Source organism: Homo sapiens, chromosome 12, assembly GCF_000001405.40.
Source record: "Homo sapiens chromosome 12, GRCh38.p14 Primary Assembly".
Lineage (NCBI taxonomy): Eukaryota > Metazoa > Chordata > Mammalia > Primates > Hominidae > Homo > Homo sapiens.
Window position 1 is genome coordinate 96,828,000 of NC_000012.12, and position 23,943 is coordinate 96,851,942.

General features: G+C 39.8%; 1 protein-coding gene across 2 annotated transcripts in view; it reads left to right on the top strand.

Annotated features, from left to right (window-relative positions):
* Window positions 1-23,943, top strand: part of CFAP54 (cilia and flagella associated protein 54) — a 385,979-nt gene that overhangs the window by 338,423 nt on the left and 23,613 nt on the right. For both annotated transcript variants that reach the window (NM_001367885.1, NM_001306084.2), the window contains one exon: window positions 1,015-1,089. In NM_001367885.1, coding sequence (NP_001354814.1) covers window positions 1,015-1,089 — 75 coding nt within the window. The remainder of the gene's footprint in view (window positions 1-1,014; window positions 1,090-23,943) is intronic.

Below are 23,943 nucleotides of genomic sequence, written 5' to 3' on the forward strand. Positions count from 1 at the left end.
AATATATAATTATATATAATACGTATTAATATATAATATATAATTATATATTAATATATTATTAATATATAATTATATATTATATATATTATCAGAAAAGCAAATTTTTGCTTTCTTCATTACCAGACACTGGCAACATTGTGAAGTAGGCATAGTTAATCTCTGACAATTATGTAGTTATGACTTCTTCAGTTGTAAGTGAGGAAAAAACTACTTACAGTAACTCAAGTCATTTAGGTTTGGTAGGGAGGTAGTGTTTGTCAGTATGAGTTGAGTATGGTCATGCATAGACAAAGACTGGAACCTGAAACAGTGGAGTCACAGAAATTTGAACTGGCGGATCAGGAGCCAAGACTGTGCTCAGTCCTGCAGGTGGCGTGGGTTCTCACTCGTCTCTATCTTCTCCTCTGTCTTCTCCCACATTGGCCTAATGGCTGCCTTCTCCAACTCCGCATGTGGACCTTTCAGCTCATGCAGTCAATACTGATTGTATGTCTCTTCTGTTGTTCTTCCTTACATAAAATCATATGATAGGGAATCTGACAGATTCAACCTGTCTGTGGGTAGGTCCCTTGTGGATTGGGTGTCCACACATGAACATGGCTGCATCCATGCAGCAGGGCTGTGGGCAGTGTCATCATGCTATTGACTCTCTTCCTTTTCATTCGCTCTTCCCCTGTCTTCCATAATTTCCAGTCATTCTTCTCTGCTGCAAGCCCTTTCAGGGATCTGAAACTCTTCATTCCAGGGCTCTCTTCTCAGAAGAAAAGTAATTTTTCAAAATCTTATTTAGAAAAATAATTATTTTCAAAATCTTATTTTGTACAATTAGATACAATTCAAAAAAGCCTAATTACTTAAGGGGTTATGATTTCTGAGCCCTCTGTCTTATCCTGGGAACAAAGGTTAGGTAATGATCAAGAAAAGACAAATGAAATAGTTTATAATTAAATAGGTAATATTTAGGTTTCTAATAATATCAACCTCACTGTATTACTATCTTCTTATTTCTAGGACATGATTATTCAATGTTGCTCTGAAATAGCATCTCTGTTTTTGAATGATAAAGAGCCAACACCACTATCTGAGGTATGTATTTCTCCTTTAAAATTGTATCTAATTCACTCACAAGTATTATTGCTATGAAATGGAAATATAGAAAACATCTAATTGTAAGTATCAAGGGCCTAACCCTCCTTATTAATGTGAAAAAGTGATAAACATGAGTTTACAATAACACATTATTTTGGTTAAAAAAATTATGTGTTCAAAAAACATTCAACTAATACAAAGAACTATAAAGAGGGTAATTTTTAAAGTCACCTCAAATCTACAATTCACAGAATAACCCCTATTAATATTTAGAGTATATCTAGAATTTTCCCTATGTACAGATAAACTTTAGAATTTTTATACCAATGGTATCATACTTTACATGCATTCTGTCACTTGCTTTTTTCATCGAATAATAATTTTATGGATAATTTTTATGTGAAAAGTCTACTTTGTCATATTTAATGCCTGCATAATGGTTTCTTTTACGTATTTGTTGTGTCAGGTGCCATTTACATAGCTAGATCTTTATTGATGGGTTCTGCAGTTGATTGATCTTAGTACATACATATTTCATTCTTCTGTATTACCTCTTCAGAATTAATTCTTAGGGATTGGATTTGGAGTAAAAAAGTATACGTACATTTTTATTATAAAATATATATAATATAAAATTTAAAGTTTTAACCATTTTAAGTGTACAGTTCAGTGGCCTTAAGTATATTCACAATGTTGTGCAACCGTCACCGCTGTCTATCACTGTCCAGAACTTTTCATCATTCCAAATAGAAACTTTATATCCATTAAACAATAACTCCTCAATTCCTCCTCCCCCACCACCCCAGCTCCTGGTAACCTCTATTCTACTTTCTGTCTCTACGAATTTGTCTATTCTAGGTATCTCATATTAGAATCATCCAATATTTGTCTTTTAGTGTCTGGCTTATTTCACTTAGCATAATGTTTTTAAAGTTATCCGTGTTGTAACATGTCCTAGTATTTTATTCCTTCTTAAGATGGACTAATATTCCATTGTATGTATATACCACTTTTCTTCATGGATTTACTTGTTACTGGACATTTGGGTTGTTTCCACTTTTGGCTATTGTAAGTAATATTGCTATGAACGTTAGTGTACAAATCTGAAGCCTTGATTTCAAATCTTTAGCACAATTGCTGAATCATATGGTAATTCTATGTTTAACCTTTCGAAGCACTTCCAAATAGTTTTCCTGAGCAGCTGTACAATTTTATACTACCACCAACAATGCATAGAGGTTCCAATTTCTCTGCATTCTCTCCAAGACTTTTTATTTTCTGTTTGTGTGTGTGTGTTTAATAGTAGTCATCCTAGTGGGTGTGAAGTGGTATCTTATTGTGATTTTGATTTGCATTTCCTTAATGACTAATGATGTTGAGCATCTTTTCATGGGCTTATTGACCATTTGCGTATCTTCTTTAGATAAATATCTCTTCAATTATTCACCCATTTTAAAATTGGTATATACATTTTGATATATTACAGCAAATTAATCCTCCAGAAATGTGGCACCAACATTTCTCTCCTATCAATAGTAGATGAGAGGACCATTTACCCACATATTCATCTCTCCTAGTTTTCTGGGTTTGTTTTTTGTTTTTCTTGAGATGGAATCTTGCTCTGTCACCCAGGCTGGAGTGCAGTGGTGTGATCTTGGCTCACTGCAACCTCCACTTGCTGGGTTCAAGTGATTCTCCTGCCTCAGCCTCTCGAGCAGCTGGGACTACAGGCAAGCGCCCCATACCTGGCTAATTTTTTTTTTTAGTAGCGATAGGGTTTCACCATGTTGACCAGGCTGTTCTTGTACTTCTGACCTCAAGTGATCCACCTGCCTTGGTTTCCCAATGTGCTGGGATTACAGGTGTGAACCGCTGAGCCCAGCCCATCTACACTAGTTTTCCTCCTCCTCTTCTAATGGTTAAAAGCGTGACAAGTGGAAAATAGTATATCATTATTGTATTTTTATTGTTAGTAAGGCTAAGTATAGTTCTTGTGTTGGTTGGCATTCGTGTTTCTCCTTTAGCAAAATGGTATTTATTCATTTAGTCAGCTGACAGATGTTTAGAAGAACTATCTCTGTGTCAGAAACTCCTTTCTGTGCACTGAAGAGCTAGCTGTGAACCAGCAACAAAGATTCCACTCTCCTAGAGCTACTATTTTTGTGGCAGGAAATAGACAGTAAACAAATCAATAAATGAGATAATTTTAGATTTTGTTGAGTGCTATGCAGGAAGAAAACATATGTTAGAGTTGGGGTCAGCAAACTACAGCCTATGAGCTATATCTGGTGACTGCCTGTTTTATAAATAAAGTTTTATTGGACACAGCCTTGTTAATTCATTTACTTATGATCTATAGTTGCTTTCACACTACAAAAGCAGAGTTGGGTAATTTTGGCAGAGACTGTATGGCCTACAAAGCCTAACTTATTTATTACGTCACCCTTTACAGAAAAGGTTTGCTGGTCCCTGTGACAGAGAGTGACAGGGAATGGGGTCACAGCTTAGATAGGGTGGTCAGGGAAGACTGAAGACTTCTCTGAGGAAGTGACATTTGAAGTAAGACCTGAAATATTATACTGTATTTTTCCCATTAGCTCATTAGCTTCCTGGGGTCAGAGGTGATGCTATCTTCATCTGTGAGTTCTTACAGTGCCTTGTACACCACATCTCTTGGTCACTGGTTCTTGAGTTGAATTGAATTTCCTTTCATTTTGAACATCTGAAATTTAATCTTTGCTTCACTTATTCATTTGGCCATTTATGTCCTTTTCCCACTTTTTAAACAGGGAACTTAATTGTTTATTATGGAAATGTATAGACTTACTGTGGTAAACCACTGATAATAAAATCAAGCTTAAGTCTAATTTTGGATAAATTGTGGTTAAAAATAGGTCTCATCTTGAATTGTAACTCCCACAATTCCCGTGTTTCATGAGAGGAACCCAGTGGGAGGTAATTGAATCATAGGGGCAGTTCTTTCCCATGCTGTTCTCCTGATAGTGAATAAGTCTCATGAGATCTGATGGTTTTAAAAATGGGAGTTTCCCTGCATGAGCTCTCTCTCTTTGCCTGCTGTCATCCATGTAAGACATGACTTGCTCCTCCTTGCCTTCCACCATGATTGTGAGGCCTCTCAGCCACATGGAACTATAAGTGCTTTAAAGCTTTTTCTTTTGTAAAAAAAAAAAATATATATATATATAGGTTATAAAAAAGAATTTGTTATAATAAAATATACAATTTATAATGTCAATAGGCCTTGGTTTCTGACAGGTCTAGGTTGGAATCTCGGCCTTGAGTCTTGTTAGTTGTGTGAACTTGGGCAAGTTATTTAACTTCTCTAAGCCTCAGTTTTCTCATATGTAAAAAAGTACAAATTCCAACCTCTCACAGTTGTTGTGAAGATTAAAGTAGATAATATATTTTCAGTATTTGTCATAAGGCCTAGTAAAAATAATTGTTTAGGAAATATTAGCTATATAATAATAATCATCATCATTATTATCATCATCCCCACTATGGTTTTACCCTCCATGTGTGAATTATTCATCCCCTAGTCAACTAGTTTTAAGAATAATTTTAGAATCCAAGTTTGTTTTGAAATATTTATAGAAAAGGAGAGGACAAATGTTAAAGGTAGTATTTTCTTTGTCTGTAATTTGGATTATTGTTGAATCCTGTAAGAATTAGGTCTATATTGCAGGATCCCAACATGAGATCCTAGTGGTGAAAGCACTGCCCATCCAAGATGGAAGATGGCTTCCAGCTAACTTCCACTGAAAATAAGACTCACCAACAGTACTGGGATAGTAAATGGTTAGGCAAATGAAATTACATGCCTTCATGGAGCTGTTTTTGTCACTAGCAGAAGATCTTGCTGTGCAATTTGGTTCCTTACTGAACACACCTATTACAAATTACCTTTGCCTATGTTAACTCTTCCTAATTAAAATAAATATTGACATGCACAGCTTGTGACAAAAAGAAACTGAGAATAGCAGAAAGATGAAGGAAGGGAACGAGTGCCCCATGCTTTCCTTCTTAGTGATTAATCATGGAATGTCAATAACCATTACATATGATTTCTGGTGAGGCAGCAATAAAAAGAATTTTTAATTGCCTGTGTAGGTTCAAATTGTTGCAGTTTCTAAGTTGTCAGGTAGGATTCAAACATGATGCTAAAAATATTCTTGTTCTCACGGTGACTGACCATGGAATGGGCTAAGTTCTTTAATAGAATCTCACATCTGTCAGTAATTATTGACCACCAGCTACGTATAGAACATTGGTATAGATACTTTTGTTGCTGCAAAGGCAGTGTAGATTAAAGTTCCTGTAGTTAGCAAAATGAAATAGTTTCATATTGGTTCACATGATACAGATAAATTTGCCTAATCAATTACACACGCGTACGTGTGTGTGTGTGTGTGTGTGTGTGTGTGTGTGTGTGATTTGAATGAACTAGAGTCATACAGAATCAGTATGGAGAGGAGGTTCCTAGGAGCAGATCATGATTTGAAAGTGGAAAATGTTATCCTAGGTCAAGATATCAGATGTATTATATAAGGAGATTGCAAAGCAGTTTTTCTTGGCTGCTTGGGTTTGGTAGGATTTTCTTTTTTAGTTCAAGATTTTTAGCCAGACCTAGCATAGTGCCTGATAAACAATAATGATAATAGTCATGAAAATGCAAATATTTCTACTGCTAGTAGTAATATTAATAGTTAATATTAAATACTTATTGAGCACATGGCATGTGCAGACATTATTTTAAATAATTTAATATTTTAAATATTTAATATGACAAGAGCCCTATGACATTGGTTACCATTATTATCCTTGTTTTAGAGATGAGGACACTGATACATAGGAAAATTTAGCAGAATGTGCAAGGTCTCACAGCTTGATAAAAGTAGAAGGCAGGAGTCAAATATGGGTCTGCTTAACTCTACACTTCTAACTAGACTACACTCAGTAGGTGTTTTACTAGAATAGTGGGAGCAGACACTGCAGGGAGTTGAGGAGTAAATAAGGGGTGAGAAAGTAGGGGTGAGAAAGTGAAGGTTGAAAGTGTAGATTAGTCTTTAAGAAGATTCGAGAGGGTAAGAAAACAGCTAGAGAGAGACACAGTCATGGGAGGGTGTTAGGATATTAGCGGTCAAGGGAGGCTGTTAGTGTTATGGGATCTTTGGGGTATCGGTTTTCTGGCCTGAAACCTCAGGCTAGTGGTGCCTTTGCCCAAGTTTTGCTCAGGCCCACTGAGCTTGTTCTGCCCAATGGCAGGCTGCGCTTGGCTCACGCTACTGACCTGGATCCCATGCCTGCCAAGGGCAAGTCAGGTGTGGAGCAGCAAGGATTGTGTGAGCAAGCATGGGGTCTGGCCACTGGCAGTCAGACATGCTGGCTGCTGCAGTGTGGCAGGCAGCTCTAGGTGCTGGCATGGGCGCCAGCTCTCTGCAAGGCTGCAGCTGGACCAGGCGAACCAGAAGCAGCTTCCTTGGTTGGCAGTGGGGAACACAGTGGTGCCCAGAAGCCTGGAGATGCCAGGAACTGCAGGATCTCAAAGAAGAAGTAACAGCCTTGGCTTGGGGATCTTCCAGGCCTGGGGTCCCAGAAGGGCCACAGCTCTTCTCTCCTTCTTTTCTCCTGCAACATGGCGAGCAAAGGTCATGTTTCAGCCTTGTTTGTGTTACAGCTTTTTTAGCCCTGCCATTCGGCAGCCCTGAGTTCTTATCCTACGACTAGGAAGAATGAGGTACACAGACAAGTGGAGGGTGAGCAAGATGAAGAGGAGCTTTATTGAGCAATAGAACAGCTCACAGGAGACCTGCAGCAGGTAGCTCCTTTCTGCAGCCAGGGTGTCCCAATGAGTGTTTAGCTCCTAGCAGAGAGGAGACCCTGGAGTGGGAAGCTCTTCTCTGCAGGCAGGTTGTCCTGTCGTCTCTGCAACTCTCAGCAGAGAGGAGGCTGTGGAGTGGGTTGCTCCTCTCTGTAGGCAGGTTGGTCTGATGTTTGCAGCTTTCAGCAGAGAATAGGCCCTGGAGTGGGTTACTCCTCTTTGCAGCAGGTAGTCCCAACATCTCTGCAGGTCTCTGAAGCTCTCAGCAGAGAAGAGGCCCTAGAGTGGGTAGCTTCTCTCTGCTGTTGGTAATCCTGACGTCTCCTGCTATCAGCAGAGAGGGTAGCTCCTCTCTGCACCTGGTTGTCCGATCGTCTACTCTGCCCTGGCTGAACTCAGGGCTTTTATGGGCCTCAGAGGGAAGGAATGCATGCCAGTTGGTCCATAGGTGGCCAAGGGTGGGCCCGGAAAAGGCACCATAAGTCCCCACTCTGGTCAATGGTACTGGCAACCCAGCCCCCAGCCTTCAGGCCCTCCCTGGCCTGAAAGTGGGACCTTGCCAGGGACCTGCCCCCTTCTGCCCAGGAACCTGTCTGCCTCCTGCTGCCATTCATTACATGCAGGCTTGGCCCCGACTTTGCTCTGTGATTGGAGCAGGTGCCAACAGCAAGGAGAAGCCAGGCAGTGGGAGCAGGCACTTCCAAGACTTCCCGGGCCCCCAAGAATGTAGGGATACCTGAGTTTACAGCTGCAGTTTGGGCAGCTGCAGGTGTGCTAGTAGGGTGGAGGTTGGAGTGGGGATCCTGCCTGTTCCATGAAGTGGGAGGCCCAGGTCTACAGCCCTGGTTTGGGCAGCTGCAGCTATCCCTGGGAGTGTGGGGCTCCCACTAGCTCCATGGAGTGTGCAGCCCCAGCCATGCCTTCCTGCTGCAGCTGGTGTGATGGCAGTGGTAGGCGATCTGGAGTGGCTGCTGCCATCATTAGGAGAGCAGCAGTCATAAAGGAAAAGAACTAGGACAGGTAGAAATTACCTGTCTAGGGGAGAGAAGGACAAAGGATGGAGCAGAGCCCTAAGTGACATGGTAGGGAACAGAAAGATAGCCACAGCACAAGTAGGATAGTTGACTGGAAGCAGAGGAAAAACACCTCTTTTTTTAGGTCTCTGAATGGCAGATCAAGGTGGAAAAAGATGTAAGTTTGTAACAAAAGGGCAGGAGAAGCTGGGGAGTTCACCCAGTGGTTTTAAGTTATTCAGTGAACTAAAGGCAAGTTTATCTACTGTTGAAGTCAGGCAGCGGGCTGAGGGAATGGTCTTCAGAGAGATAAAGATCTTGAATTTCATAGTCATTGAGTGTGATGGGTGAGGAAGCTGATCCAGGGAAAACATAAGGATTGAGGGCCACACTGAAATGTAAAAGTCATAAATTGGTTGGGGCACTAGGCTTCCTGGCTTTTGATCTTTCTTTAACTACACTTAGCTTTCTCAGTGTAGGAATGGAGTTGAAAATGCCAATAGAACATGTTATTTTATTGGGCAGGTGCAAGAGGAGAGCAGAGGCACGTGGAGGTGAGATTACTAGCAGGACAGCTGACAGCACCAAAGAGGCTGAGGTGGAAAGGAGCAGCTAAGAATCTATGCTGTAATAAAAAATGCCTCTCCTTTACTCTGAAAAACATCACTACAGCGTAATATCTCCATTTTTTCTCAAGCTCCTGTTGAACATAAATTAGTCTATGCAATATGTTTTCTTTTTGAATTTAATCTAAAAATCCTTAATAATGGTTAAATTCTATTGATTTACACTACATTATCAAGTACATTATTAATGTGCATTCCATTTTATATGGTTGAATTTAGTACGTTTATAGTTTCTTATTTCTGATTTTTTAAATTATGTTTTTTGTTTTGTTTTTTACAGACAAGATCTCTGTCATCCAGACTATAGTGCAGTGGTGTGATTATAGCTCCCTTTAACTTTAAACTCCTAGGCTCAAGCAATTCTCCTGCCTCAGTCTTCTGATTAGCTAGGACTATAGGCACATGCCACCATGCCCAGCTATTTTATTTTATAGCAATGAGGTCCCATCGTGTTGCCCAGGCTGGTCTCCCACTCTTGGTCTCAAATGATCCTCCCATCTTGTTCCCCCAAAGCACTGGGATTACAGGTATGAGCCACTGTGCCAGCCCAAAAGTATAATTTTTGATATGTTTATGATCAGATATTGATAACCACATGCTGGTTACTGAAATAATTCTTATTCTAGTAAGTTAACATACTTTATTTAGGCATTTGCACCTTTAATTTTGTGTCTCATATATTGATTCTATCATGTGACTACCTATATCTTATCACCCCTCATAGCCCCTATGACTCCTGCCTGTCAGCTGCAGTGATTGCTCTGCAATGCTAGCATCTTATCTGGTACTGAGTTATCATGTAAAAATGAGTAATAACACATCCAGTCTATTTCAACCTAACTCAAACAGTTTTCTTTTCATCAATTTCCTCTCCAGCCCATGGTTTATAACTTTGTACTTAATAGTTTTTATCAAAATAAATGTGTTATTATGATGTGCTTGCATATTTGTCTCCTGTATAAGTGCAGGTTGGGTCTTATACAATAAGATTGAGTCTTGCTATGTTTTATTCTCAGTACTTTGCCCAGTGTTTAGTCCCCAACAAATGTTCAAAAAAAGTTTGTTAAATGCAGGAATGACTCATGATACATCTTCTAGAGATAGCCCTGGGCTGCAGTTCTAGTCCTGCCATTAACAGTGATTTCGAGGCCATTGATTTCAGTTATTTGTACAGTAAACATTTGTGAAGTGCCACCTTTGTACCAGCCATTGGGCTAGGTCCTGGGGTACAGAAGTAAAAGCCAGAGTTCCTGCTTTCAAGAGGGCCCACAGATTAGTGGGGGAGACAGACAATGACAGAAGCAATTACAGTACATGGTTGGGAAAAGAGGCCTGAGAATTAAGCAGCACTCCATGGTTCTTCTAGCATTCTCTCACCATTTCTCTGAAGGTGATACACTTCTGATATCTTTTTAGAAGGGTTCACTAGTTCCCTCTATGAAGTTAAGTTAGTGGGTGCTCTTATGGCCCATAATTACAAATTTTAATTGCTTTGGAAAATGATTGGAAAGTAATAGAATATCCTTAGAAAGATACACACATGATCAGAGCATTTATGAAAGCATTTTCCGCTGATTAGGAAGACCTTTGGAAGACGAAGCAGAAAATAAGCCTTAGCTTTGGCAGTAGGCTCAGTAGGGTATAATTTATGGTTTTGCTCAGGGGGATGAAGAGAATGAGACAAATCCTAAAAGCCCTTGATGCAAAGACAAAGTAAGAGAGAAGTTAGAAAAAAAAAAAGTCAACTCAGTTTACAAGCTGCAGCTAAGTACAAGGCACTGGGCTGGACTCACTGGAGGAATCAGAGATGGTGTATTAGTCCATTTTGATACTGCTATAAAGAACTGCCCGAGACTGGGTAATTTATAAAGAAAAAAGGTTTAATTGACTCACAGTTCCACATGGCTGGGGAGGCCTCAAGAAACAATCATGGCAGAAGGGGAAGCAGGCATGTCTTACATGTGGCAGGAGAGAGAGAGAAAAAAAAGTGAGGGGGGAAGAGCTGCTTATAAAACCGTGACATCTCATGAGAACTCACTCACTATCACAAGAAGGGCATGAGGGAAACAGCCCCTATGATCCTATCACCTCCCACTAGATTCCTCCCTCAATGCCTAGGGATTATGATTCAAGATGAGATTTGGGTGGGAACACAAAGCTAACCATATCAGATGGGAAAGACAGAGTCCTTGACCCAAAAAGGCTGACAGTCTAGAAGGAAGGGATGTGTCTTTTGCTTACATACAAAGACAATGGTTTTGTGTTTAAAATGGATGATTGTTTTGCACAAAGATGGGGAGAATGAAGTGGGCCAGGTGACAAGACTTGCCCAAAGCCACACAGCTGGTAACTGTCATAGCCGAGTCGGGCAGACTCCAGAGCCTGTTGTTAACCATTGTCAGTATGTTAAGATGGCTCTGTTGAGCCTTTTCAGTCTGAAGATTCTTGCTCATTCAAATGGAGGGGCTAGATTAATATGTCCCTGAGAGAGAGTTAGAACCCGGATTTGTGAAGCAGTATGTGTAGTGGTTAGTGGACAGACTCTGGAGAGTCTAGTTGCCTGGCTCCAAATCCCAGCTCAGCTCTATTTTCTAGTCATATAATCTTAGGCAACTTGTTTAATCTCAATGCTTTGATCTCTCTGTTTGTAAAATAAGAATGAAAATAGTACTTACTTTACAAGGTCATTGTGTGGATTAAATGAGTTAATCCATGTAAAACTCTTAGAACAGTGCCTGCCACAATGTAAGCAAAATAGTTAGTTACTATTACTCTCATTTAAGAGCTATCCGATTTCACTTGGAATGAGACCCTTACAAGTAGATTTAATTCCCTAAGGAGGGGCTGTAGCAGAAGAACAACACGAAGTGTAGAAGGAAGCCTCTGAGTATACTCATGAAAGAGGGCTGCAATAATGCAAGTGCAAGGAATGGCTGCATACATCGCTTTCAACCACGCATCTTCCCATTCCCATCTGTCCCTGTTACTTTAGTTATGTAACAAAGCACCCCAAACTTAGTGGCATAAAACAACCACCATTTTATTAGGTCAAAGATTCTGTGGGTTACTTATTGGGAAGGGCATAGTGGAGTAAGTTATTTCTGCTCCAAGATACCTGGGACATGAGGTGGTTTGGCTGAGAAAACTAGAAAGTTGGGGATGATTCAACTGCTGGGGGCTGGAATTGCTGAAGGCTCATTTAGTCTGGTGCTTGATGCTGGTTGTCAGCCATCAGCTGTTGGTTGTTGGCTGGGGGCTGAGAACAGACTTGGGCCATGGTCTGGAACATAACTTGTGACCTCTCTCTGTGGCTGGTTGGGCCTCCTCACAACATGGTAGTAGGGTTTCAAGAGTGAGCCTCACAAGAGAACGAAGTAGATGCTCTATCACCATCCATGCCCTAGCCTTAAAATCACATAATGACTCTTCCTCAGTAGTGCAGAATCCACTCTGATTCAAGGTTGGACGTAGACTCTACTCCTTCACTGGAGGGCTTGAAGTCAACTTTTAAGAAGGGAATGTGGTTTGGGAACTATTGTTGCAGCCATTTGGGGAAAATGCCATCTACCATGACATCCAATAAAACTAGGTATTTTCCTCCTCTGAGCAGAGGCTGTTCTTAGGAACCTGCTTAGGCAATTTTTTAGTGTGTTTAGACCCACACGGTAGAGGATAAACTAGGTGGATTCTCAAAGCAACCTTTGAAATAATCTATGCAGTTTTTCTGGGTACTGGATGGGACTTGCTTGCATGTACCCTATTGATGTGGAAGAGCTTCCACTTCACTTTTTTTAGCATGTAAAATCCTAGAGGATGGTGCTAGGCTATTTAATATCCATTGGCAAATTTTATTACATTACTGTATGATCCTTGATTTCTTTGAAACAAGATTTCCCAAATGGTAGTAATGACAGTACTCTCTAAACTGTCATTTACAAGATTCTACATATTCTGTAGTAGGTATTTACTAATTATTTAAAAATTAATTATACTAATATACTTCCTTTGGTTAAGTTGAGAGCTACAGACTTTCTTTCTTTTCTCTGTTTCTTTCTTTTTTTTTTTTTTTACAAACCAAGACATGTCTGAATAAATTTTATGGGCATCTATAATTACATCTTTCTTCTGTGAGACATTATCATTCTGTCCTCAAGTGAAGAGTATCCTTTGTATGTAAGTTCATGAGACATCCACTTAATATTCTTATAGTCTTTTGAAGACAATGCCAGATGACATCCATTCCACACTACTTTTAAAACACAGCACTGACTTTGATTCCATCCACTTACTGTTCACTTCTAACTGTCAAATTTGGCTAAGGGAAAAAGAAAGCCCTTAAGAAAAGGCCAGGCTATTAATGTGCTCTTCAAAATGCTAAGAAAAGGCTAAGCTGTTTATAGCATTTCCAAAACTCTCATCTCTCAGAGATTTGCCAGCAAAGGTGTCAAGGTGAAATATGCTGTCCTTCATCAAGGAACCTGAAGCCTTTGTGTTATCCGTGCTCAAAGTAGCAGTTCCACTTTTGTTAGATGTGCAATTTGGGGGTATAATACTTGGATATAATTTAAACTGAGATATCATGATGAACCTGATACTGTGTATTTACTGTGAACGTGATGAGAAGTATATGCACTCCTTGATAAACCAAGTCTGGCCTCATTCTGGATACAACTGCACTTTCCTGAAGTTTAGTCATTTTGTGTATGTTCACAGCAGGTGAGAGACAGGGGAATCATTAGCAAATCTGTTCATTGCTTTCTATTTTGCTGGAAATCAAGTTCAATGTTTAGTTTCCTTTCCTTCATTCAGTTTACCAAAAAGTTTCACCTTGGTTAGAAAACTAGACCTTTAGCAATGGAATTATATTTTCATCTTAGGAGGATGTTTAATTTTTGCCTCATAGAGCTGAGTCAATTGGCAAACCTTTGGAAAGTCTCCTGACAGATGTTTTTAAATTTAAATAAATAAAGAAGAAGCAGGTGTGAATTTACCCATTTCCCTTGTTGACTTTGGGCATTAGCCATTTGAGATTTTTGCATCTATTCCACCTATATCTTAAGCTGCTAATGCCATTATGTCCTTTTCTCAACCACTTGTGGTAGCATAATATGTTAGGAAGAGCACTTAGCACACGTTCTAGTCCCAGTTTCGCCCTTGCGAACAAGTCATTAGTCCTGAAAGACCTCAGGTCAACTAGATTCGTCGAAGGTCTCTGAAGCAATGTATCTTGGTTGACAAAAACATAGTTTGATTCTTGGTTCCGCCACCTATTGGTTGTATGACCTTGGACAAGTTATTTCCCTAGGCGTCACTTCCTTATCTATAAATTGGTGAAAGCTATTTCTCCGATAGGATTACATTAGAAGCAATATTTAACACATTTAGTATAGTGCCAGTACAATGCCAGTGGTAAGCATTCAATACATTGTGGTCATCTTTATTTTTCCAGCCTTAAAATAATGTGAAATGAATCATTTGTTCATTTGACCTTTAACAACTCCCTTCATTAGTAACTCTTACTTAGCCTATCTAAATGTTTGTAAATTTCAAAGAGTAAATGACCATTTTAATATGTATCTTTTTTTGGTAAGTATTTGTGGCAGATAATATATATATTCTTGATATTATTTCTCAACCATCCTTTTTAAATTAAACTATTTATTTTGAGATAATTGTAGAGATTCACATGCAGTCACAAGAAATAATACAGTTACTGTGTATCCTTTACTCAGTTTCTTCCAATGGTAACATCTTGCAAAACTGCTGCATATCACACCCAAATATTGACAGTGATACAATCAGGATAGAGAACATTTCCATCACAGCAAGGATCCCCTCTGTTGTCCTTTAGTAATTCCACCCCCTCCTTAACTCCTGGCAACCACCAATCTGTTCTCCATATTGGCAGTTTTGTCATTTCAAGAATGTTGCATAAAAGGAATTTTATAGTATGTAACATTTTGAGATTGGCCTTTTTCATTCAGCTAAATTCTGTGGAGAGCCATTAAACTATCCTTTTGATGAACAAAAAAAAATTAAGAATATTATCACATTTTATTTTGGCAACAGAATTATCATTAGCCCAAAGTGCTTTGTGCGGTATCTAGCACACAGTAAATAGTGAATGTTCAGTGGCACTCAGCGAAAGTGCTCCTCTTCTGCCTACTACTACCCTTCCTCCTTTTTCCTCTTCTCTCCTTCCTACTACTTTTTTCTTGCCCTTTGCTTCTCTACATCATCTTATTAATATTAACTGACAAAGGCTAATTGTTTGAGTTAGAAATACTAAAAAGAGTTAAATGAAATAATTTATGTGCAATTTCTTTGTAAGTTATAGATTTTACTAGAGTTGCTATAAGAAATTGCCAGTTACTATTGGCTGCCTTATAAGAACAGTTTGCAGCTGCTAGTGATGTATACTGATGTGAATAAAGAAGTCAGCATGAGCAGGATTTCTTTCCACTGGACCCACAAGGTCTGTCCTCTGGTTTGCTACTGCAGTGGGAGCTGCTAACAAAGCCTGTCATGCTTTGATTCTAGGCAACGAAGTCCCAGGAACAAAATGCAGACTTTAGTTCATATTCTTTATAAAGCCTTTGTTCTAAAAAAGAGCCTCCCATTCCTAGTTGCTAGAAGTTAGGCCCAGTGAGCTCCTTCATAAAAAAGCATCAAGAAATGCCAAGTATTGTTAGGAGTCTGGCTTTTTCATTTCTATATCGCAGGTCAAAAACCCACAGGCAGAGTCCACAGAGCCCTTCAGGAGGGAACCCAGTTATAAGGTTGCCAGTAATACCATTTCTTGCTATAACTTTGCTGCTGAGATTCCAATCCCTGACGTTTAAATGGAACTAAACCTTTACTGTAATGGAATTTCCCCCTTTTCAGAAATACAGTGAGGATAGAACAAGCTTGCCAGTGCATAAGTTGTAGTTGGGATAGAGTAGGTTCTGCTGTGCTAACAAATAAGCACCAAATCTCAGTGGCAATAAAGGGTTGTTTCTTTCTCATGCAAAGTCCAGTGAGAGTTGGGCGACTCTCCTTCAACTTGTAACTGCTGTCTGCACTGCATGACCTCTAAGGAAACCACTGCAGGAGAAAAGAGGGGTAGAGGATTTTACAGGATATTTTTACATAGAGTGACCATACATCCCAGTTTGCCGGGCACAATCACAATTTACATGTGTCGAGTTACAGTTGTGATTCATAAATACATAAATTCCTTTTACTCTGTAAAAAATCCTAATTTGGACAATAAATTAGGGTGAACATTTCTAAGAGGCTGCCTGGAGTAGCTGTCAGAATTTTTGCTTATACCCTATCAGTCTCAATCTAACACACAAGGATGTGATTAGAGCATTGTAAAGGTGCAAGTATATACTTTAGTGAACCTAATAATTTTTGGCACAATAGGCATTTGCAGGCATGCCATGAATTTTTAAATAGAAATAATTCAATAACTTCAACTACCAAAGCTCTTTGGAGCAAATGTGATACAAATATTATATTTTTATTGACTAAACCATTGCATTTCAGACATGTTGTGGTAGGTTGAACAATGGCGCTCCACAGTGGTCCACATCCTAACCCCCAGAATCTGTTACCTTATATGCCAAAAGGGACTTTGCAGATGTGATTAAGTTAAGGATGGGGAGAGGGGCAGATGATCCAGGTGATCTCTAAATGTCATCACAAGTATCCTTATGAGAGGGAGCTAGAGGGAGATTTGACACCAGAAGAGGAGACGGCCATGTGATGACGGAAGCAGAGACAGGAGTGATGAGCCATGAAGGTGAAGAAAGGGGTGCAAGTCAAGAAATACAGGCAGCCTCTAGAAGCTGAAAAAGGCAAATAAATAGATTCTCCCCTTAGAGCCTCCAGAAGGAACCAGCCCGGCTGACACCTTGACTTTAGCCCAGGGAAATGATTTCAGATTTCCAACCTACAGGGCTATAAGAGAATAAATTCATGTTGTAAGCCACTAAATTTGTGGTAAATTTGTTACAGCAGCAGTAAGAAATGAATACATAAGTACATTCTGAAGTTAAGCCTGTGGCTTCAAATTCCTTTTTCTAGTTAAGATAGATACTATTATCATCCTTTTTTTACATGTGAGAAACTGAGGCCTGAAGAGTTGCCCAAAGTCTCTCAGCTAGTTAGTGTCAGAGCCAGGATCCACACCTGGGCACTCCCCCAGCTCCCAACTATACTCTAAGCTCCTTCTCACCGTGTCTGTCAACCACTGGCAAGTCCAAGGTTCTGTATGAAACGCCCCTGCTCTGTGCAGCCTCTCCCTCTCCCACCTGACTCAGTTTCCTGCTCCTTCCCTTGGCTCAGTGCTCTCTGGACACCCATGCTTTTCTAGCTTCAACTTTTGGAAGTGTTATGGAAAGTTCTAGAGCTTCCATACAGAACTTCTCAAGTAAAGTTAGAATTCAGGTAGAATTATTGAATTTCTTCATATTTAAGTTTACAGGAAGATATTATTTTTGAATCTAATTTTTACTCCTCTTTAATCTCTAGTTTTTCTTACATTCTAGAGCATGGAGTATTCCTAAGGGTAATCAAGTAATAGATTAATGTAAGTGATGCTGGAAATGTATTAGGCTTATTTTACCATGACCCAGAAAAGAAACATCTGGAAATTTGGTATGAGTTCTTAGTTATTACTTTAAATCTCTCACAGCTTGTATTGGTTATATAGTAGTATGCATGTAGCCATATTGCTATTTGTTTATTGGTAGTATAACCACTAAATTAAATCTTCATGCCTGTCGTGGCTCCTGCATTGAGCCACCCAAACCTCCCCTTCAGGATTGAAAACTTCGTTTTCTCAGCTCTGGGAATGTGATGGCTGACAGCCCTCAACTCTCAACCCTCTCTAGCAACTTCTTTCAACTGAAGGACATGAACTCTTTCTGGAGGGAAGCCCACATCCAATTACTGGTTGATGTGGGAGTACAAAGACCCAACCCCACCACCACCACAATTCAGGACCACTCTGAAGGGCCACCCCAGCCTCAAAATTCCCCCATGGGGTTGGCAGAGCCCTTTACTGTGACTGCATTGCAGCCCAGCTTCTCCCTCTGCCTAACTGCTTCCTTCCCTTTCCCCATGGCTTGTGATCTCAAGGGTATTCCCTAATCCTAATAAACTTTCTGACAGCTAAGTTCCATGTCAGAGTCGGCTTCCCAACAATGAACTCAAAAAATAGAAAATGAAGATCCCTGACTGGTGATGAATACATAATCTCTATTTATTGGAATTAGAAGAGTCTAAAGGAACTAAGAAACATGCTTCCTGGCTTAAGGTTTCTCTTTAATGTAGAAGGAAGGAGAAACATACACGTGTCACCCACTTAGGATTAAAAATACATTATACAACATGACCCATAGTTCAGTCACATTCTCTTTTGACCTCCATCATAACAGTTAATTTATGAACGAAATAAAACTCCATAAGCCAGACCCTGGTCTATATCCAGTCAATAAACTCAGGCTTCGTTTCTCACAGAAACTATTTTCTCAGAGTATAAAAATGAGGTCTTAGCAAAGTTTTAAAACCATTCCCTGAAAATAAAGGTAAAGATATAATTAATCACATCTAATCACAGAGAATGAGGAATAGACATTTAGTTTTTTAACACATTGAATGTAGCCATTTCTCTTAAATACTTCGTCCAGGAAACCACTTCCTTCCACTTTTCCTTCCAGCCCCCAGTTATGAGCCCTGAACCACTGGCCCTGAACTTGCATCAGGCCTCTACACCCTGTGCAGGTTATTGTAGAGTTGTTGGTTGTGTAACTCATGCTTCCTGCTCTAATTGGAGCTTTTGATAGTTTAGAGGGAGTGTTCCCTGTTTGGGACCCTTTATTAGCTCTTTACAGGTTGAAAAATTCTTTCCTGGGGAAAGAGAGCTGCTGTTCTTTCTACACAGTAGGGTGTCAGATTTCAAAGGCTTTTTTCTCTAGGCCTTGGAGTCTTGAGCAGTCAGAGTAAGTCTGAATATGTACGGCCTAAACTTTCACTATTTTCTTAAGGGTCTCCTTTGGTCGTATAGAATGGTTTTCTTAAATAGTTCCCTATAAAGAGCATATGCCCATGGTGGAGGTGATACTGTCAACTCTATCACTTTTCATCAAGTGGTGCCTTGGCTGAGCCTGGAATAGGGTATGAAGGGCTGTGCGTGCAGACTGGGTGCCAAGGAGGGAAAGGCACCAGTGACCCCAAAGGTATTCTCTAGCTGAGCACTGTCCTGGTTTGCATAATACCAGGTATGACAGTTGTGCAGCTTTTCCTGACACCAAGCAATTCTATGATTTTCTGACACCAACTGGGTGTCCAATGATTCCATTCAATTCTGATACTAACTACCCAGAGTTTGCACAGACCCCACAGTTAAGGGCTCAGTCCTGTGAGACTTCCCTCACTTCAGATGCCAGCTGCAAATGGGGTTCCCAGAATGCCCACACTTCTGCCCAACTAGATATTTAGGAGTTGCCAGGACCCTCCCCTCAGATTCAGTAATATGATAGAACAGCTGACAGAACACAGGAAGTGCTTTATTTATGATAACCAATTTATAAAGGATACAGGAACCCCAGATAAAAGAGATGCATAGGGCAGAGCACAGGGAAGGGGCAAGAAGCAGCCATGCCCTCTCCCAGTGAGCCGCCCTCCCTCCCAGCACTCTCCTGGTGAGCTGCCCTCCCTCCCAGCACTCTCCTGGTGAGCTGCCCTCCCTCCCAGCACTCTCCTGGTGAGCTCCCCTCCCTCCCTGTGCTCTACTTGTGCACCATCCCGGAAGCTCCCCAGAACCCATCCTTATGCGTTTTTATGGAAGTTTTATTACATGGGTATGATTGATTAAATCATCAGCTATTGGTGATTGGGTTTAATCACTCCCCCTACCCCTTAGTATATAAAAGATGGTCAGTTCCAACTGTTTTAGGAGCTCTGTGCCAGGAACCCAGGACAAAGACCAAATGTTTATTTTTTATTGTACCACAACTCTAAACAATAAACATAACTTGAAATTGATTTTTAAACATATATTTCAGTGGCTGCAGTTTCCTGCAATATATCCTGTCTCATGGAGGTGCTTCTTATGCATTCCAATAAAGAGGCCACTGTTCAAAACATCCACTTAGATGTGAGAAGGGAGACAGAACCCCTCATGTTGTTGAAATGTTTTGGATTTGGCTGAAATGTTTGGTTGTCTGTGCATGTGGGATGATGTGTCTAAGCAAGAACTGTCCTTTATTAATAGGTACATTCTGCTCTAGAGCTCAAGGAAATGCCAGGCACAGCTGTGGCTCTGTCGTTGTAAAGTGACAATGACAATGGTAGTGATGGTGATGGTGATTCAAGAATAATCTATTCTTCTATTCTTAGACAATGTAACATTTGAACCAATTCTCTGCACAAATGCTTTCTCTCCTACATCTTCTAATTTCCAATTTTCTTATTCTCTGCAAAATGCCTTTTACAATAATGTTATTTTTGTTTTGTTTCGTTTTGTTTTTGAGACGGTGTCTTGCTCTGTTGCCCAGGCTGTAGTACAATGGCACAATCTTGGCTCACTGTGACCTCTACCTCCCAGGTTTGAGTGATTCTCCTGCCTTAGCCTCCCGAGTAGTTGGCATTACAGGCATGCACCACCACACCTGACTAATTTTTGTATTTTTAGTAGAGACGGTTTCACCATGTTGGCCAGACTGGTCTTGAACTCCTTACCTCAAATGATCCGCCTGCCTCAGCCTTCCAAAATGCGTTACAGGCGTGAGCCACCGTGCCCAACCAAAATAATGTTATTTATTTAATATTTAATATTAAAAGATTTCTACTGGCTGGGTGCAGTGGCTCACGCCTGTAATCCCAGCACTTTGGGAGGCCAAGGCAGGTGGATCACGAGGTCAAGAGATCGAGACCATCCTGGCCAACATGGTGAAACCCCATCTCTACTAAAAATACAAAAATTAGCTGGGTGTGGTGGCATGTGCCTGTAGTCCCAGCTGCTTGGGAGGTTGTGGCAGGAAGAATCACTTGAACCTGGGAGGTGGAGGTTGCAGTGATCTGAGATCGCACCACTGCACTCCAGCCTGGCAACAGAACGAGACTCCGTCTCAAGAAAGAAAAAAAAAGATTTCTACTGTCTCACCAATATAACCATTTGATCTCATATTATGTTTAAAAAACCCCTTTTTTGTCATATTTAAAGTTTTATTAACACAAAAGTTAGGGTGATGAAAAGATAATCTCTTTCTTCACAAAGTGTGAAATTTCTATGGTTTGGCAGAGCTGTGGAAAAGCCCTGTTACCTTCCTGAGAGTTGGATGCTATTCCTGTTAGATTGGGGAGAATATTATCTATTATTGCTGGTATTGGGATTTTCTTAATCATATAAAGTACAGTGAAAGCAAATATATCTAGGTCCCTCTCATCTGGAACCTTTATGAGATGGATCACCAGTCATTCATGATATTGATTCTTAAGTAAGCTCGTGTCATATTATCCTTTCTACTTTAGAATGCATGTTTTTCCCCAGTCTAGAAAAAAATCCAATAAATCATTAACTTCAGAGAAAAGTGATGTATTAAGAAAAAATAGAAAATATGGTGGAGAAACTCATATGTGAGAATGCTGGATGAAAATACTATTTGCTTTAAGCTATTAAAGTTTTTTTTCATGGCTCTTGCTCCCTGTGCTTTAAGGTTTTTGAAAGGAGGCAAAGTTAAATCCATCCATATCACAAGTCTCTCAATTGTTCAATATCCCACTTATCAATTAAAAGAATAGGCATGCCTAATTGATTAGTAAGCATTTGGCTCCTCCACCTCTATTCTTTTGGTCATGGAACGCTTAGAATTGATGAAAACGTAACTGACAGTGTGCAGAGAGAAGGAAGAGGCCTCAGAGTAGGTGCTCAACAAAATCTAATTGGATTGAGAAAAATCGTAGATTCTTTGAAGACTACATGATTTTCCTTTTGATTAAGGAAAATTGTTGGAACACAAAAGCACAAGTAATAAAATCTTTATTATGATAGAATGTAGTAATCATGCAGAAACTCATATAAAATAAAGCATTGGCAAATAACCTTTAACTCTGTAATGGCTTTCAAAACTTTCCCAGACAAGTTCAATTCAGGCCAGATTTTAATGAACCCCCTGCAGTATGCCCCCACTTGATTAATTTCCTTTCCCTTCTTCTTACTATTTCAGACTTTCATCCTCTCTAGGCAGACAAAATCATCACCATTTCTTTCAAATAGCTCCTTCAAGTGTAACCTAGTTGAACTAACTAATTCACAGTCTTTTATCTGCCAGTCTGTTTTATTCCCTCATCTCCACAAAGCCTTTCCTGACCTAGGGAATGGAACCTTGGTACCCTTTCCCGGGCAATTTGGACTCAAAGATATTTACAACAAGCAAGCAAACATAAAAGATCTCTAATTCCCTTTGGCAGCCCTAGAGTCGTCTGTAAAATTTCCAAAAGCTGAGCTGGAAAAACATGCCAAGAGAGCACAGCCGGGCACGGTGGCTCACGCCTGTAATCCCAGCACTTTGGGAGGCCGAGGCGGGCAGATCACTTGAGGTGAGGAGTTCAAGACTAGCCTGTCCAACATGGTGAAACCCTGTCTCTACTAAAAAAAAAAAAAAAAAAAAAAGTAGCCGGGCATGAGGCTGAGGCAGGACAATGGCCTCCCAGGAGGTGGAGGTTGCAGTGAGAGATCACACCATTGCACTCCAGAGAGTGAGACTCTGTCTTAAAAAAAAAAAATAGCACTGAGCCAAGGGCGGAGCAGGAGTCTGATTCAGGGGAGTGGGAGAGGCTGCACGAAGCAGGAGCGTTTCATGGAGAGCCTTGGACTTGCCAATGGTTGACAGACATCGCGGGAGGGAACTCAGAGCATAGTTGTCAGGTAGGGGAGTGGCAGTGCTGCAGATTGGAGAGGGACATGTTCTGAGAGCCTGTCTTCCTAGGTGTGGATCCTGGCTCTGATACTAAATAGCTGAGAGACCTTGGGCAAGTCCCTTAAAGTCTCTAGGTCTCATGGGTGTGTATATTAGTTCATTCTCACACTGCTATAAAGATACTATCTGAAACTGGGTAATTTGTAAAGAAAGGAGGTTTAATTGACTCACAGTTCTGCATGGCAGGAAACTTACAATCATGGTGCAAGGCAAAGGGGAATCAAGCAAGAGAGAGAGCATGGCAGCAGGCAAGAGAGAGAGCAAGCAGGGGAAATGCCAGACACTTATCGAGCAATCAGATCTCTTGAGAACTCCCTCGCTATCAGGAGAACAGCATGGAGGAAACCACCCCCGTGATCCAATCACCTCCCACCAGTTCCCTTCCTTGACAGGTGGTGATTACAATTTGAGATGAGATTTGGGTGGGGACACAGAGCCAAACCATATCAGTGTAAAAACCATATCACTTTGTAAAAAGTTATGTGGGCTCACTTTAATACAGGTCCTGAAAGAAATACTTTACCTTTTAATGCTATCATTTTATTTGAAATTATGTAAATTTTATTTTTTTTTTAGAATCTTGAACTCTCTGGGGAGAAGGTATAACTCTGACTTTCTAAAGCACATTCACGTTCACTTAATATTTATGACATTGATGTGCTTTGACTATGAAATAAATTTACATTTTCACCTAACTTAACATTTTAAAAACTTGTCTTCATGATTTCGAAGGTAGTGGCTTTTTAATTTTTAATATTTAGTAAAATGTTTGCTTCATAAATGTATCCTGACCATATTTAGGTGGTTTCCTAATTCTAATTCTATTCCTAATTTAAGTAGCAGTTTTTCCAAATAATAAAGCTCATTATCTCCTCTGTGAATCCAGATTATTTTGAAAGTTTTAGCTCTTGTAATAAGGCAAGAGAATAAAATCTGTAAACATAAATATTAAGAAATAACAGGCAAACTTATATTTATTTGTAAATACTATCATTTTAAAACCCAAACCCAAGCGTTTTTAGAAATGATTAGAACTAAGAGAATCTGATAAAGTGGCTGGATATAAAAATTAATAATTTCTTTCTTCTAGGAATAATAATTTAAAATGGAAATTTTTAAAATAGTGGCAAAATTATAAAATGCCTAGGAATAAATTTAACAAAAATAGTACAGGATATAAGTAAAGATAAGGATGTAGTTTTAATAACAGACAACTTTTCTATACTATTCATTTAAAAAACCTTCCTGTCTCCTGAATTGTAAAATCAACTAGTCATATGTTAATAATACCCTATCATCACTTCTAATTAACATTGTATGGGAGTTCTTAGCCTGTGAAATAAAGGAAGAATTTTTAACAGGTGTAAGTATGGGAAAGAAAGAAAGAAAGCTTTCAT